This window comes from Homo sapiens, chromosome 4, assembly GCF_000001405.40.
Source record: "Homo sapiens chromosome 4, GRCh38.p14 Primary Assembly".
Taxonomy (NCBI): domain Eukaryota; kingdom Metazoa; phylum Chordata; class Mammalia; order Primates; family Hominidae; genus Homo; species Homo sapiens.
Window position 1 is genome coordinate 112,822,884 of NC_000004.12, and position 17,439 is coordinate 112,840,322.

Below are 17,439 nucleotides of genomic sequence, written 5' to 3' on the forward strand. Positions count from 1 at the left end.
TTGTTCATTGATAGAACAAATATATAGAACATTGCAATTCTTGCTTATGAGTATAATGAGATTTAAAAGGTAATCCAACATTATGCTGTTCCATAATGTTTTTAGAATGCCCATCTGTTAATTATTCAGTCTTATTTTGGTAAGGGTAAGACTCCCGCGTTATTTGCTTAAAATAACGCACATGTGAATAAATGTCATAGATAATTCACCTGTGTTGATGCTATTTGTAAAAGCAATAAACACAAAATTAGATTGGGTGTTGTTTAATTACAATTTTTGGAAATCTCAAATTCAATACAGAGGTCCTCTGATTATATCCTGGATATGCAATAGTCAGTTTCTACTGGTTGAGTGAGGGTATCTCTTCATTGTAGACATTAAACTGTAGTGATATATTGGGAGAAATTAGTTCTGGTGGCTTTGAGTGGTTTCAAAAAGAATAATTGGGACACTGTTCTAAACAGCCAACACTGTCTAGCTCAGAAACAAATGACTGCATGTGTGACATTTCTAAATGGTGACATCTTCAAGGAACCCTCTAAATGGTTACTTATTTTAAGCTTCAGGTTATGGAGGAAAGAAAAAATTAGTCAGGGGATATTAGTTGTTAATGGTCCTAGTATGAACAGACAGAAACTCCAAATAAAGATATCATTTATTTCCAAAAGATGTAACTAAGAGGAAATGCAAAAAAAAAAAAAATGCAAAGTTCAGTAAAGTGAATAGCTGCTGTACTAATTGTAAATTTCACTCTTTGAGGTCTTGGGTGCCTTTAACCGATTCCATTTAGGCAGAAAGCACAAGCAAATATCTCTTGTTGTAAACAAAGCAACAAATTTAAGTTAATGCTAATGTGTTCACAGCCAGAGCCAAAAGTTTTTCAGGGTTATTATAACACACTGGGCTCTCAGCCCATCCATCTAAATGTCCAAAGTACACTAAAGTTATGGATTGGCCCATTGTATATACCATCCCACATGAGAGCCAGATGCTACTGTTTACTGTGCTAGTGACTTAGCCAGATTCAATGTGAAATCTGAGATTACTGTTTGGGGTCCATGGAAGTTATAGATGGATTTTTCTGATCATGGATTTAGGCTTCTATACTTCGATCTGTTTTGATTAATGCCGATTTTTTTTTAAGGACAATCTTTTAAACCTAATTATACCCTAAACTTTAGATGGAGAGTTTCCTTGTAAAAATTGTTTTCATTTATTGTCTTTGGACCTTGGATGTGTTGTAGGTCTTCAGCATCTATCTATCTATCTATCTATCTATCTATCTATCTATCTATCTATCCGTCTATCTAGAGGGAGACAGGGTCTTGTTCTGTCACCCAGGCTGGAGGGCGGTGGTGTGATCATAGCTTACTGCAGTCTCGAACTCTTGGCTTCAAGCGATCTTCCAGCCTCAGCCTCCCAGGTAACTAAGATTACAAGACTACAGGAGAGTGACAGGACTACAACCATGACCAGTTAATTTTTTAAGTTTTATTTTTCTGGAGACAGTGTGTTGTTCTGTTGCCCAGGCTGGTCTTGAACTCCTGGCTTCAAGCAATCCTCCTGCCTTAGCTTTCCAAAGTGCTGGGATTACAGATGTGAGCCATTGCACCCCACCTTTAGCATTTTTTTTTTTTTTTAGACGGAGTCTTGCTCTGTCACCCAGGCTGGAGTGCAGTGGTGCGATCTCAGCTCACTGCAACCTCCGCCTCCCTGGTTCAAGCCATTCTCCTGCCTCGCCTCCCAGGTAGCTGGGACTACAGACATGCGCCACCACACCTGGCTAATTTTTGTATTTTTAGTAGAGATGGGGTTTCACCATGCTGGCCAGGCTGGTCTCAAATTCCTGACCAGGTGATCTACCCACCTCGGCCTCTCAAAGTGCTGGGATTATAGGTGTGAGCCACTGCACCCTGCTTTTAGCATATTTTTATTCTTTGTTTTGAGCATGGAAAAGAAGCCATGGAATTCTATTGCATGGCAACCACACTAGAAAATGTAATTATAATGCAGATTTTAAGATGATTTGGTAAAAAAACCAGTTCTGTATATATTGATTTAGAAAAATACTATCCACTGTCTTAAGAAAATGTGGCACATATACACCATGGAATATTATGCAGCCATAAAAAATGATGAGTTCATGTCCTTTGTAGGTACATGGATCAAGATGGAAACCAACAGTCTGAGCAAACTATTGCAAGGACAGAAAACCAAACATCACATATTCTCACTCATAGGTGGGAATTGAACAATGAGAACACCTGGACACAGGGTGGGGAACATCACATACCAGGCCTGTCATGGGGTGGGGAGAGGGAGGAGGGATAGCATTAGGAGATATACCTAATGTAAATAATAAGTTAATGGGTGCAGCACACCAACATGGCACATGTATACATATGTAACAAACCTGCATGTTGTGCACATGTACCCTAGAACATAAAGGATAATAAAAAAAAAATTTAAAAAAAGAAAGAAAAAGACTATCCACTGTCCTCAGTTGGAAAGAAAATTTCATCATTCAAGACCCAGTATTATCAGATTTTGTTGACATAGTTAGATCCCTTATCCCTTAACCCTATCTGATTTGGTTTATGTCCTTTTCATCCAACTAAACTGGTTTTTGAGGAAGTATCACAAGTAATGATAATACTACCAATAATACTACCAATACTACAAAAGCAACTGTTGTAGGGGAGGAAAGATTTCTTTTCCTCATCCATTGCTAAGTTCATGGCTGAGGCACCTATAACAAAAGACAGATTAACCAGAGAAAATCATAAACCAAATTCACTTAATTAATATATTTACATGACATAAGAGCCTTCAGAAATGAAGACCCAAAGAAACAGGTAAATTTGTACATTTTTGTGCTTAGGTTTGATGAAGAGTAGACAGTTGTGGAAAAGTATGATTGGACAAAGGAGGTGTGATCTAATGGTAATAAACTGGGGGACTTAGCTAGACCTGTGTATTCATATTTGTCTCTGTGTCCCTGTGCCTTTGGAGATAAGAACATTCCTTTCCTCCATATATAGGGTGGGCACCTCTCCATGAGAGCCTTAATTACTTATTTCACAGGAAGGTCAAAGAATTGTGTTTTGGCTTACTTCAGGGGAGAAGGTCAACGAGTAACTTTTCTGCTTCTACTGCTTCCTCAAATGCCAAAGTGCCATATTTTGGGGTAGCAGGTCCTGAATCCCATCACTGCTAAATGCTGAGCACTTTCCATATGCAAGACCCTGTACTAATACTTCGTTTATTTAGGGACATTTCACAGATGGTAAGATGAACTTGCCCCAAATGTGTGACTTGTCATTTGAGAATCCAGTCAGTCCAGACTTTCTAAGTCTAAGGCCTATCTCATAACCTGTTGTTACTATTTTGACTATAAATTTCTATAGAGTTGTGTAGTCTGTTTTGCTTCAGACTTCGAAAACCACTTGTGACATCTGTACCAAACACAGTGACAATGGTCTCACTGCAACCTGAAAAGCCAGTTGTCCCTGGAACAGAAGTAACACTTTCCCTACCAGCAGTAACTTTTGAAGAATCTTCAGGTGCAGCTATTTGTCTTCCATCTGTGAAACCTTTTGTTACATCTACTGGGACCACATCTGACAAGCCTGTTATTGGCACTCCAATGCAAATCAAACTTGCCCAGCCGGGCCCTGTCCTTTCACAACCAGCTGGGATTCCACAGGCAGTTAAAGTCAAGCAACTAGTAGTTCAGCAGGCTTCAGGAGGCAGTGAAAAACGGGTGACCACACTTACACATTCCTCAGCATTGACCATTCAGAAATCTGGATAGAAGACAATGCCAGTGAACACCATAATACCTACCAGTCAGTTTCTTCCATCTTCTGTTCTAAAGCAAATTACTCTGCCTGGAAATAAAATTCTGTTGCTTCAAGCATCTTCTACTCAAAAAAATAAAGTAAAAGAGAATGGAACAATATGCTTCAGGGATGAAGATGACATCAATGATGTGACTTCTATGGCAGGGGTCAACCTTAATGAAGAAAATGCCTGTGTCTTAGCAACAAACTCTGAATTGGTTGGCACACTCATTCAGTCATGTAAAGATGAACCATTTCTTTTTATTGGAGTTCTACAAAAGAGAATTTTAGACATTGGTAAAAAGCATGACATTACAGAACTTAACTGTTGCTGTGAACTTGATCACCCATGCAACACAGGAAAAATTATGAAGCCTTCTAGAAAAACTGACTGCAATTGCTCAGCATTGAATGACTACTTACAAGGCAAGTGAAAATTACATCCTGTGTAGTGATACCAGGTCACACCTCAAATTTCTTGAAAAGCTGGATCAATTGGAGAAGCAGAGAAAGGATTTAGAAGAAAGAGAAATGTTACTTAAGGCAGCCAAGAGTCATTGTAATAAAGAAGATCCAGAACAGCTGAGATTAAAGCAGAAAGCCAATGAGTTACAGCAACTGGAACTTGAACAGATACAGCATAGAGATGCTAATCTCACAGCTCTTGCAGCTATTGGACCAAGGAAGAAGAGACCACTAGAACTTGGAAGTGAGGGCTTAAAAGACAACCTTCTTGCTTCTGGGACATCCAGCCTGACAGTCACCAAACAGTTGCTTCATCTAAGAATCACAAGAATCTGCCTCAGGGACTTGATATTTTGTATGGAACAGGAAGAGGAGATGAAATATTCTCGAGCTCTATACCTGGCCCTTCTGAAGGGACCACTCTACTCTCCATCCAGATCCTTGCAATTTACTGCCAAGGAAGACACAAAGAGCATTGTTGCACTGTTCTGAAATTTCGATTCCTGGAACATAATCACCAATATGAAAGAGCAAACAAATGGAAAAACATTTCATGCTCGTGGATAGGAAGAATCAATATTGTTAAAATGGCCATACTGCCCAAATCAATTTACAGATTCAACACTATTCCTATCTAAGTGACAATAATATTTTTTACAGAACTAGAAAAAGCTATTCTAAAATTCATAAGGAATAAAAAAAGAGGCCGAATAAACAAAGCAATCCTAAGCAAAAAGAACAAAGCTGGAGGCATTACACTGCTGATCTTCAAACTATACCACAGGCTGCAATAACCAAAACAGCATAGTACTGGTACAAAGACAGACACAGAGACGAATAGAACAGGTTAGAGAACACAGAAATAAAGTCGCAAACCTACAACCATCTGATCTTCAACAAAGCCTACAAAAATAAGCATTGGGGAAAGGATTCCCTATTCAATAAACACTGCTGGGATAACTGGCTAGCCATATGCAGAAGATTGAAACATGACTCCTTTCTTTCACCATATACAAAAATCAACTCAAGATGAATTACGGACTTTTTTTTTTTTTTTTTTTTGAGACAGAGTCTTGCTCTGTCGCCCAGGCTGGAGTGCAGTGGTATAATCTTGGCTCACTGCAACCTCCGCCTCCTGGGTTCAAGCAATTCTCTGCCTCAGCCTCCCTCGTAGCTGGAATTAAAAGTACCCCCCACCACGTCCAGCTAATTTTTGTATTTTTAGTAAAGAGGGGGGTTTCACCATCTTGGCCAGGCTGGTGTTGAATTCCTGACCTCGTGATCCACCCGCCTCGGACTCCCAAAGTGTTGGGATTACAGGCGTGAGCCACCGCGCCCAGCTGAATTAAGGACTTAAATATAAAATCTGAAACTGTAAAACCCCTAGCAGAACACATAGGAAGTACAATTCTAGACACAGGCTCTGGCAAAGATGTCATGACAAAGATTCCAAAAGCAATTGCAACAAAACAAAAAATTGACAAATGGGACCTAATTAAAGTAAATAACCTTTGCACAGCCAAGGAAACTATTAACAGAGTAAACAGACAACCTCCAGAATGGAGGTTTGCAAACTATGTATCCAGCAAAAGTCTATGTATCCAGCAAACGTCTAATATCCGGAATCTATAAGGCACTTAAAGCAAAAAACAAACAACCCTATTTAAAAATGGGCAAAGGAGGCTGGGTGTGGTGGTTCACACCTGTAATTCTAGCTCTTTGGGAGATGGAGTCGGGTGGATCACTTGAGGCCAGGAGTTTGAGAACAGGCTGGCCAATGTGGTGAAACCCTGTCTCTACTAAAAGCAAAACAAAAATTAGCCGGGCGTGGTGGCGCCTGTAATCCCAGCTATTTGTGGAGCTGAGGCATAAGAATCGCTTGAACCCAGGAGGCAGAGGTTTCAGTGAGCTGAGATGATGCCACTGCATTCCAGCCTGGGTGACAGAGCAGGACTCTGTCTCAAAAATATAAATGAATGAGTGAATGAATGAATGAATGAATAAAATGCAGTTTAAATCCAATGTTTGTTTGTTGGTTTTATGTCTAGATAATCTGTCTAATGCTGAGAGTAGAGTGTTTAAGTCCTCAACTATTACTGTATTAGAGTCTATTTCTCCCTTTATATCTGAGTGTTCCAGTGTTGGGTACATATATATTTACAATTATATTTATCGTATCCTCAGGCCTAGTGCAGTGGCTCATGCCTATAATCCCAGCACTTTGGGAGGCGAAGGCAGAAGGATTGCTTTGAGACCAGGAGTTAGACTAGCCTGGGCAACATAGTATGAGCCCATCTCTACAAAAAAAAAAAAAAAAAAAGGAAGGGCAAAGACATGGAGAGACACTTCTCAAAAGAAGACACACAGGCGGCCAACAGGCATATGAAAAAAATTCTCAAAACTAATCATTAGAGATATGCAAATCAAAACCACAATGAGATACCATCTCACACTAGTTAGAAGGGCTATTATTAAAAAGTCAGTGCTGGGCATGGTGACTCACACCTGTAATCCCAGCACTTTGGGAGGCTGAGGCTGGCAGATCACAAGGTCAGGAGATGGAGACCATCCTGGCTAACATGGTGAAACCCCGTCTGTACTAACAATAGAAAAGCAAAATTAGCTGGGCGTGGTGGTGGGTACCTGTAGTCCCAGCTACTTGGGAGGCTGAGGCGGGAGAATGGCGTGAACCCGGGTGGTGGAGCTTGCAGTGAGTGGAGATCGCGCCACTGCACTCTAGCCTGGATAACAGAGTAAGACTCCGTCTCAAAAAAATAAAAATAAAAAATAAAAAAAAAGTCAAAAAATAACAGATGCTGGCGAGGTTGCGGAGAAAAGTGAACACTTATCCACTGCTGGTGGGAATGTAAACTAGGTCAGCCACTATGGAAAGCAGTTTGAAGATTTCTCAAAGAACTTAAAAGAGAGCTACCCTTTGACACAGCGTCTCATCACTGAGTGTATAACAAAAGAAACATAAATTGTTCTACCATAAAGTCATATGCACACATATGTTCATTGCAGCACTACTCACAACAGCAAAGACATGGAATCAACCTAAAAGCCCATCAACAGTGGACTGGGTAAATAAAATGTGGTACATACACAACATGGAATACTACAGTCATTAAAATGAATGAGATCATGTCCTTTGTAGCAATATAGATGGAGCCGGAGGCCATTATCCTAAGCAAATTAACACAGTAACAGGAAACAAAATACCAGATGTTCTCATTTATAGGTGGAAGCTAAACATGGAGTACAAATACACATGGACATAAAGAAGGGAACATTAGACACTGGGGCCTACTTAAAGGTGGAGTGTGGGAGGAGAGTGAAGATTGGTACTTATCGGTTACTATGGTTATTACCTGGGTAACAAAATAATCTATACACCAAACCCCTGTAACATGCAATTATTATTATTATTTTTTTTTGAGACTGAGAGGTGACAACGTGCTAACAGCCCTTGCTCGCTCTCGGCACCTCCTCAGGCTACGGCATCCACTCTGGCTGCGCTTGAGGAGCCCTTCAGCCCGCAGCTGCACTGTGGGAGCCCCTCTCTGGGCTGGCCAAGGCCAAAGCCAGCTCCCTCTGCTTGCAGGGAGGTGTGGAGGGAGAGGCGTGGGCAGGAACCGGGGCTGTGCATGGCACTCGCAGGCCAGCACGGGTTCCAGGTGGGCACGGGCTTGGTGGGCCCTGCACTCAGAACGGCTGGCTGGAGCCACCAGCCCCAGGCAGTGAGGGGCTTAGCACCCGGGCCAGCAGCTGCGGAGGGTGCCCCGGGTCCCCCAGCACTGCTGGCCCACCTGTGCCTCGCTTGAATTCTCCCTGGGCCTCAGCCATCTCACCATAGGGCAGGGCTCGGGACCTGCAGCCCACCATGCCTGAGCCCCCACCCCCTCCATGGGCTCCCGCGTGGCCAGAGACTCCCCAATGGGTGCTGCCCCCTACTCTGCAGCGCCCAGTCCCATCGACTGCCCAAGGGCTGAGGAGTGCGGGCACGCGGCGTGGGACTGGCAGGCAGCTCTGCCCACGGCCCTGGTGCAGGATCCACTAGGCGAAGCAAGCTGGGCTCCTGAGTCGGGTGGGGACATGGAGAACTTTTATGCCTAGCTAAAGGATTGTAAATGCACCAATCAGCACTCTGTGTCTAGCTCAAGGTTTGTAAACGCACCAATCAGTGCTCTGTGTCTAGCTAATCTAGTGGGGACTTGGAGAACTTTTGTGTCTAGCTAAAGGATTGTAAATGCACCAATCAGCACCTTGTGTGTAGCTCAAGGTTTGTAAACACACCAATCAGCACCCTGTGTCTAGCTCAAGGTTTGTAAATACACCAATCAGCACCCTGTCAAAACGGACCAATCAACTCTCTGTAAAATGGGCCAATCAGCCCTGTAAAATGGACCAATCAGCAGGATGTGGGTGGGGTCACATGAGGGAATAAAAGCAGGCTGCTGGAGCCAGCACTCCTCGGGTCCTCTTTCATGCTGTGGAAGCTTTGTTTTTTCGCTCTTCACAATAAATCTTGCTGATGCTCAGTCTTTGGGTCCACGCCACCTTTATAAGCTGTAACAGTCACTGTGAAGGTCTGCAGCTTCACTCCTGAAGCCAGCGAGACCACGAACTCACTGGGAGGAATGAACAATTCCGGACGTGCCACCTTTATGAACTGTAACACTCATTGTGAAGGTTTGCAGCTTCACTCCTGAGGCCAGCGAGACCCCAAACCCACCAGAAGGAAGAAACTCTGGACACATCTGAACATCTGAAGGAAAAAACTCCAGACGCACCATCTTTAAGAACTGTAACACTCACTGCAAGCGTCCATGGCTTCATTCTTGAAGTCAGCGAGACCAAGAACCCACCAATTCCGGACACAAGATGGTCTCATTATGTCGCGCAGGCTGGAGCGCAGTGCTACAATCTCAGGCCACTGCAACCTCTGACTCCCATGTTCAAGCAATTGTCCTGCCTCAGCCTCTTGAGTGGTTAGGACTACAGGCGTGAGCCACCAACACCAGGCTAATTTCTGTATTTTTAGTAGAGACAGGGTTTCACCCTGTTAACCAGGCTGGGTTCTAAATCCTGGCCTCAAGTGATCCGCCTCCCTTGGCCTTCCAAAGTGCTGTCATTACAGGCATGAGCCACAGTACCGGGCCTGTAGGGTGTAATTTACTTATATACCAAACCTGTATATGTACCCCTGAACCTAAAATAAAATTTGGAAGAAAAAAATAGATTTTGCATCATTTTACAGTCACAAAATTATTTTATTTTGCCCAGGAAAGACTATTGTTTCTTCATATTGTATACTCTGTGCTTACTAAAATTTTGTTGATATGGATAAAAGCAGAGCCATTCAAATTGTAAAGTTATTTGTAGAGTAGTGCTGCAGAATTGTAAATGCCTCATCCTGATATTGTATGATATTCAATTTCAGAATAAACTAAGTCCTGTAAGAACATTTGGCCCAGATGTTACTAAAAATAATTGTTGCTCTAAAATTTCACACAGAGAATAACATTCCATGGTCTTCTACTGTTATGCACTATTGCTTCATTTTTCCATTTGGGATTGAAAAGGAGAAATTTAGAAAAATATTTTAAAAGGATATATATTCTTGCTTTATAACCTCCAATATTCTGCTTCAGTTAAATCTAAATTGTTGTAAAGAGACAACTGTATACTTGTGTTTAAGCACTCATCTGATTAAATTGTTTGAAATTTAAGTTGGAAAGAGACAAGTCCACCTAAAGACAGATAGTAGGTAGCATACTATATGTTAGGACATGGAGCTAGTACAAGTAGGTTGGAAGGACAGAAAGTGATCTGTAGCAGCTGGATGGGAAGACTAGCTTCGTTTGGACATGGGACAGTTTGAAAGGTGGTCTTACTTTCAGTTTGAACCACAAGAGAAGCAGAAAGAGGCTTGGTTGTTCTGATAGTGAAGGAAATTCCTTAGAAGTTCTACTGAAGAAAGCCTTGGAATACAGAATTATAAAAAGTTTTAAACAGAATAAGCCAAACATGAGGTAGTGGGTAAGGGGAGGAAATAATACGCTGAAATGCCAATCTTTAGACCATAGTAGCTCTAAAATCTAGACCGCTAGAATATTGGATTGAACAGACAGCTGGCTGGAGATATCTGATTTTAGAGATGTCAGGGCAATTTTTGCAAGATAAATCTGATAGGTCAAAATTAGAGTAGTTTAAGCAGTGACTACTCTCATTTACACTTAATGATTAGTTTTGATGATACGTGATGCACCTAGGTGCCTATATATTTTTTCTTTTAATTTATGAATGATTTATGTATTTTTTTTTTTTTGAGAGGGAGTCTCGCTCTGTCCCCCAGGCTGGAGTGCAGTGGCGCCATCTCTGCTCACTGCAAGCTCCGCCTCCCGGGTTCACGCCATTCTCCTTGCTCAGCCTCCCCAGTACCTGGGACCACAGGCGCCCGACACCACGCCTGGCTAATTTTTTGTATTTTTAGTAGAGACGGGGTTTCACCATGTTAGCCAGGATGGTCTCGATCTCCTGACCTCGTGATCCGCCCGCCTCGGCCTTCCAAAGTGCTGGGATTACAGGCGTGAGCCACCGCACTCGGCCGGAATGATTTATGTTTTAAAATACATAATAGACTGTCCCAAATTCAAAAGGTTCAAAAGGATAAATAAGTCTTTCTTTATCCCTGGTGCTCCAGTTCTCCTCCTCAGAGACAACTGCTGTTTTTAATTCCATGTGTGCCTTCCGAGTATATTGTATGACTATATATACATAGATATAACTTTTAAAACACAAATTGTAACATACTACATATGCTATTCTGTGCCTTTTTTCATTTAACATGTCTTGAAGATTATTCTCTGTCAGTACATACAAAGTTGCCTTATGCTTTAAAGAAATGTTTTATTATGAAAAAGTTCAGACATACACACAACTAGAACGTATAATGGACCCCCAGGTAGCCATTACCCAGTTCAATGCATATATCAATATTTTGACATTCTTACTATGTATTAGATGATATTAAAAATTATTAACTTTGTTAGGTGAGATAGTGGTTTGGTGGTTATATTTAAAAAATGTTCTTAGAGAAGCATCTTGAAATATTTATGACTGAAATGATATGTTCTCTGACGTTTGAGATTTACTTTAAAATATATCAGAAGAAAAAAGTATGCGTGGAAGGAATAGCTTGAACCAAGATTGGCAAAATGTTGAAGTTAAGTGCATGCAGATTCATTATATCATTTTCTCTGCTCTTGTATATGTTAGAAAATTTCTATAATAAGAAATATATTTGCCAATCTGGTTCTATCTATAGCTCTCCCCCTTTTTTGGAAGTATTTAAAAATGAATCCTAGATATTATGTAATTTCATCCATAAATACTTCTGTATGTTTTTCTAATATTATAAGGACTTAAAAAAACACTACAAAGCCATTATCATATCTCAGAAAATTAACAGTAATTCTTAGTATAATCCAATATCCAGTCCATTTTCCAATTGCTCTGATTTTCTCAAAAATGTCTTTTTGCAGTTGGATTGTTTAAGAGTCAAATTAGGTCCACATATGGCATGTCTTAGGTCTTTCTTGATCTTTAATAATCAGATATTTTAAAAAATCAGATCTTTAAAAAACAGACACTTGTTTCTTTGAGAAACTGGCTCATCTATTCTGTAGAAGGCCCCACCTTCTGGATTTGACTGGTCGTTTCCTCCAGGTGTGGTTCAACTTGTTCCTCTATCCCTTATATTTGAGTCTTGATTAGATTTAGGTTCAGTATATTTGCCAAGACTCCTTCATAGGGGGTGCTTGCTCTGCTCTTCCTGCTGTATCATCTCAGGAAACCCATATTTCTCATGTTTCACTTTGAGTGATACTAAGATTTAGGAGAGGATTTGGGTGGTGTCAGCCTCATCTACCATCGACATTTCACTTGATGTTTTTGGCATGCAGTGATTATTAATGACTGAGTCCATTATTCCATTAGGGATTACAAAACGATTTTTAAATTCTTACATTCTGTTTATACTTATTACTTGGAATTGTTCTACAAAGAAGTTTCCCTCATGACTTTTTGATAAACCAAAGTATACAGTTGGCTTATTCTTTTTAACAACCACATAGCATTTTATTCTACTATAATTTAATTGGTCATCTATTATTTAAAGTATTTGCTCTTTTTGGTTTGTTTATATTTTTTCCAACTGTATTTTCTCATATACTTATGCATTTATAATGAATAGTAAACTATATAATTTTATAGTTATATTTTAATGGAAAAATAATTATCAGACTTTTTCACTCTGTGTGTATGAATTTAGTATAAATATAAGAGGCCAGACCTGTATTTTAACCCTTGGTTGGTTACTTATTTATCATATGATGATGGGGAAAATTATCCTTTCTTTTTTCTTTCCTTCAATTTATTAGTTCTAAGCCTCATTTTCTTAATTCATATACTGAGAATAATAACCAATTTCTGGATGGTTTTAAGGATTAAATTAAAAAACTATCAAAATGCTTGGTAAAGTTCCTAGCATAGAGTAAGTGCTCATTAAAATGAACTTTCTGCTAAAATTTGAGGAATAGATGGAATAGCACATGCAAATTCTGTTGGATAGGGCTTAGCAAATAGATGTTCAATAAATAGTGCCACTTTTCTCCATTTCTTAATTTTTCCCCAATCTTAGTAGTAATGAATATTACTTTTTTTCCCTAGGCTGTTTTCAGGAGTAATAAATAAATAGACCTTAGGTGCCCTGAGGTTTTTGCTGTGAAGGGTCATTCTGTTGGCCTTTATGGAGACTTATCTGGAATTGCTGGGTCACAGCTTTCTATCCTGGGAGGCTGATATGGTTTGGCTTTGTGTCCCTACCCAAATCTCATCTCAAATTATAATCCCCATGTGTTGAAGGAGGGACCTGATGAGAGGTAATTGGATCATGGGGGCAGTTTCCTCCATGCTGTTCTCATGATAGTTTGTGAGTTCTCATGAGAGCTGATGGTTTTAAAGTGTGGCACTTCCTCGCTCTCTCTCCCTCCTGCCACCTTGTGAAGAAGGTGCCTTGCTTCCCCTTCTGCCATGATTGTAAGTTTCCTGAGGCTTCCCCAGCCATACAGAACCTCTTTTATTTATAAATTACCCAGTCTCAGGTAGTATCTTTATAGCAGTGTGAGAAAGGACTAATAAAGAGAATTGGTACCAAGGTAGTGGGGCACTGCTATAATGATAACCTGAAAATGTGGATGTGACTTTGGAACTGGGTAACAGGTAGAGTTTGAAAGAGTTTTGAGGGCTCAGAAGAAGACAGGGAGATGAAGGAAAGTTTGGAACTTCCTAGAGACTTGTTGAATGGTTTTGACCAAAATGCTGATAGTGATATGGACAATGAAGTCCAGGCTGAGGTGGTCTCATATGGAGATGAGGAACTTATTGGGAACTGGAGTAAAGGTCACTCTTGCCATGCTTTAGCAAAGAGACTGGTGGCATTTTGCCCCTGCACTGAAGATGTGTGAAACTTTGAACTTGAGAGAGATGATTTAGGGTATCTGGCAGAAGACATTTCTAAGCAGCAAACCATTCAAGAGGTGACCTGGTTTTTCCTGAAAGTGCACAGTGATATGTGCTCACAAAAAGATGACTTGAAATTGGAACTTATGTTTAAAAGGGAAACAGAGCATAAAAGTTTGGAAAATTTGTTGCCTGACCATATGGTAGAAAAGAAAAACCCATTTTCTGGGGAGAAATTCAAGCCAGATGCATAAATTTGCATAAGTAACAAGGAGCCAAATGTTAATCACCAAGAAAATAGGGAAAATGTCTCCAAGGCATGCCAGAGGTCTTCAAGGCAGCCCCTCCCATCACAGGTGCAGAGGTCTAGGAGGATAAAATGGTTTCATGGGCCAGGTCCAAGGCTGCTCTGCTCTGTGCAGCCTTGGGACAGGGCACCCTGCATCCCAGCAGCTCCAGTTCCAGCTGTGGCTAAAAGGGGGCCCATGTACAGCTCAGTCTGTTGCTTCAGAGGGTGTAAGCCCCAAACCTTGGCAACGTCCATGTGGTGTTGGGCCTGTGGGTACACAGAGGCAAGTGTTGAGGTATGGGAAGCTCTGCCTAGATTTCAGAGGATGTATGGAAATGCCTGGAAGTCCACATGAAAGTCTGCTGCAGCTGCAGGGATGGAGCCCTCATGGCGAACCTCTGCTGGGGCAATGCAGAAGGGAAATGTGGGTTTGGAGACCTCACACACAGTCCCCACTGGAGCTCTGCCTAGTGAAGCTGTGAGAAGAGGGCCACCATCCTCCAGACCCAAGAATGGTAGATCCACCAACAGCTTGCACTGTGTGCCTGGAAAAGTGCAGGCACTCAATATCAGCCCATGAAAGCAGCCTCAGGGGCTGTACCCTGCAGAGCCACAGGAGTGGAGCTGCCCATGGCCTTGGAAGCCCACCCCTTGCATCAGCATTCCCTGGATGTGAGACATGGAGTTAAAGGAGGTTATTTTGGAGCTTTAAGGTTTAATGACCACCTGGCTGGGTTTTGGATTTGCATGGGTCCTGTGGCCCCTTTGTTTTGGCCAATTTATCCCATTTGGAATGGGAACATTTACCCAATGCCTGTACCTCATTGTATCTTGGAAATAACTTGCTTTTGATTTTACAGGCTCATAGGCAGAAGGGACTTGCCTTGTCTCAGATTAGACTTTGCACTTAGACTTTTGAGTTAATGCTGGGATGAGTTAAGACTTTGGGGGACTATTGGGAAGGCATGATTGGTTTCAAAATGTGAAAATGACATGAGATTTGGGAGGATCCAGGGGTAGAATGATATGGTTTGGCTCTGTGTCCCCACCCAAATCTCATCTTGAATTGTAGTCCCCACATGTTGAGGGAGGGACATGGTGGGAGGTGGATCATGGGGGCAGTTTCCCCTGTGCTGTTCTTATAATAGTGAGTGAGTTCTCATGAGAGCTGATGGTTTTAAAGTGTGGCACTTCCTCATTCTCTCTCTCTTTCCTGCCACCTTGTGAAGAAAGTGCCTGCTTCCCCTTCCCCTTCTGCCATGATTGTAAGTTCCCTGAGGCCTCCCCAGCCATGCAGAACTGTGAGTCAATTAAACCTTTTTTATTTATAAATTATCCAGCCTCGGGTAGTATCTTTACAGCAGTGTGAGAATGGACTAATACAGAGGCCCTGCTGCATACTGGGAAATGCCTGCTTTTCAGGCAGTCCCAATCTGGAAAGGCTCAGATGGAATGCAAACAGCACTTCATTTAACCCTGAGTTGTGGAACTAGAGTGAATGTTCCTCTCCTTCTCTCTCTTGGACTTCCTACCTCATCCTTGGTTTCCAGTTCATTGTTAGGATTAGAAAGTTATCCTAATAGGCTGGGCGCATGGCTCATGCCTGTAATCCCAGCACTTTGGGAGGCCAAGGTGAGTGGATCACCTGAGGTCAGGAGTTCAAGACCAGCCTGGCCAACATGGTGAAACCCTGTCTCTAATAAAAATACAAAAAATTAGCCAGGCATGGTGGCGCATGCCTGTAATCCCAGCTACTCGGGAGGCTGAGGCAGGAGAATAGCTTGAACCTGGGAGGCAGAGGTTGCCGTGAGTCGAGATTGTGCCACTGCACTCCAGCCTGGGTGATATGCTAAATTATCTTTTCTAGTAACTCACAATACTACCGTTTCTCCTGTGCCTTTGGTATTTCACTTTCTCATAGGTTCTTCATCTTTGTAACATCTTAGGCCTTAGCTTTAGTCTTCAACTTTCCCCTATCAAATAATGGCCAATTTTTCCTCTTTCCTCTGTGGACTTCTGGCATCTTCTCTTCTGTTCCTTTCTCCCCTCCTTTTGTAATCTTTCCATTCTCAGAAGCACCATCTGTCCATGAAGACATTTTGCACCCCTCGTTTGGTAACACTTTGTCCATGTGATGGATAGAGCTAGCCTTTCTCAGCATTACCTCATTTCTTTTTCCTATGTTTCTAGGTAATAGCTGACACATACTGTACTTTCATTCACAGGTCCCAGTTTTAAAATATACAGAAGGCAGAAAGGTTAAGTGATTTGAAAATGTGTGCTGAAGATAATATAGTATCAGCACTGTAAACTGGAAAAGAACAATTGGCTCCCTGATGCTCAGGATCAGGCTTTTTTTTTTCAATGAAATCTGCTGATGGAGCATACACATATTTTAGTGACAGCCTGGAAAACAAGAGCCATTTTTGGTCATTCTAGTGCATTCCTTCTATTTTGATGTAAGGTTATTATGAATATGTGCTGAGTCTTTAAAGAGTAGATGATACCAAATATTTTGACAAATTCGAATGGTTTTCCTAATGTATTAAGGTGTGGTTTGGATAAAATGAATGCCATTCTGTGTATTAATTCAGATTTGGAGCATCAAAAACTATCACAAAATGGCACTGCTTCTCAAATAAAAGGTGAAGTGTAAAGTAAAGGGAAAACATCAAAGAACAAGGAAGCGGCTTATTTTTTCAATTGTTTTACAATTAATCCATGATATGTCAGTTCAGATGTCAATGACCAGCTTTAAGGCAATAATGATCCATGTCTGCTCTTTATCCTGGGTATAGAGATTTTTTGATTGAAGGATGACTTTAAAGAGAATTATATGCAACAGTTGAAATTTTGCCTTGCACATTCTTTGTACCATATTTTTCCTTCAGGGAAAAACCTCTTAAAAATGCCTATTTGTAATCTTTCTTGGCCAGGTTTGTACTCTTCTGTATGTTGAGCTATGGCCTATTGTTTCCATTCATTCGATAATAATTGTGATTCATTTGATAATAATTTATTAAGCAATTACTATATGCTAGGTCTTGTGCTATGTGCTGGAGGTACAAAGATGTATAGGACATGGTCCTGGTCCTTGTCCTTCCTCTAACAGCAGGCTTTAGATCAAACATCTCTGCTTGAATTAACAGGGTTTCCCAGTGTGGTTTGTAGATCAACTGCATATTCAGCTACTGAATCAGAATCTTGGGATGGACTTAGGAATCTGTATTTTCATCTGATGACTCTTATGCACTGGCCCAGGACATGGTAGGAGTGAGGTAGTTAATAGGGAGATACAGTGATACAGCACATTCCTCA

General features: G+C 41.2%; 1 protein-coding gene and 1 pseudogene across 36 annotated transcripts in view; both read left to right on the forward strand.

Annotated features, from left to right (window-relative positions):
• Positions 1 to 17,439, forward strand: part of ANK2 (ankyrin 2) — a 678,115-nt gene that overhangs the window by 117,262 nt on the left and 543,414 nt on the right. The gene's annotated exons all lie outside the window — the stretch shown is intronic.
• On the forward strand, positions 3,419 to 4,840 carry LOC100422627 (TATA-box binding protein associated factor 4b pseudogene; annotated as a pseudogene).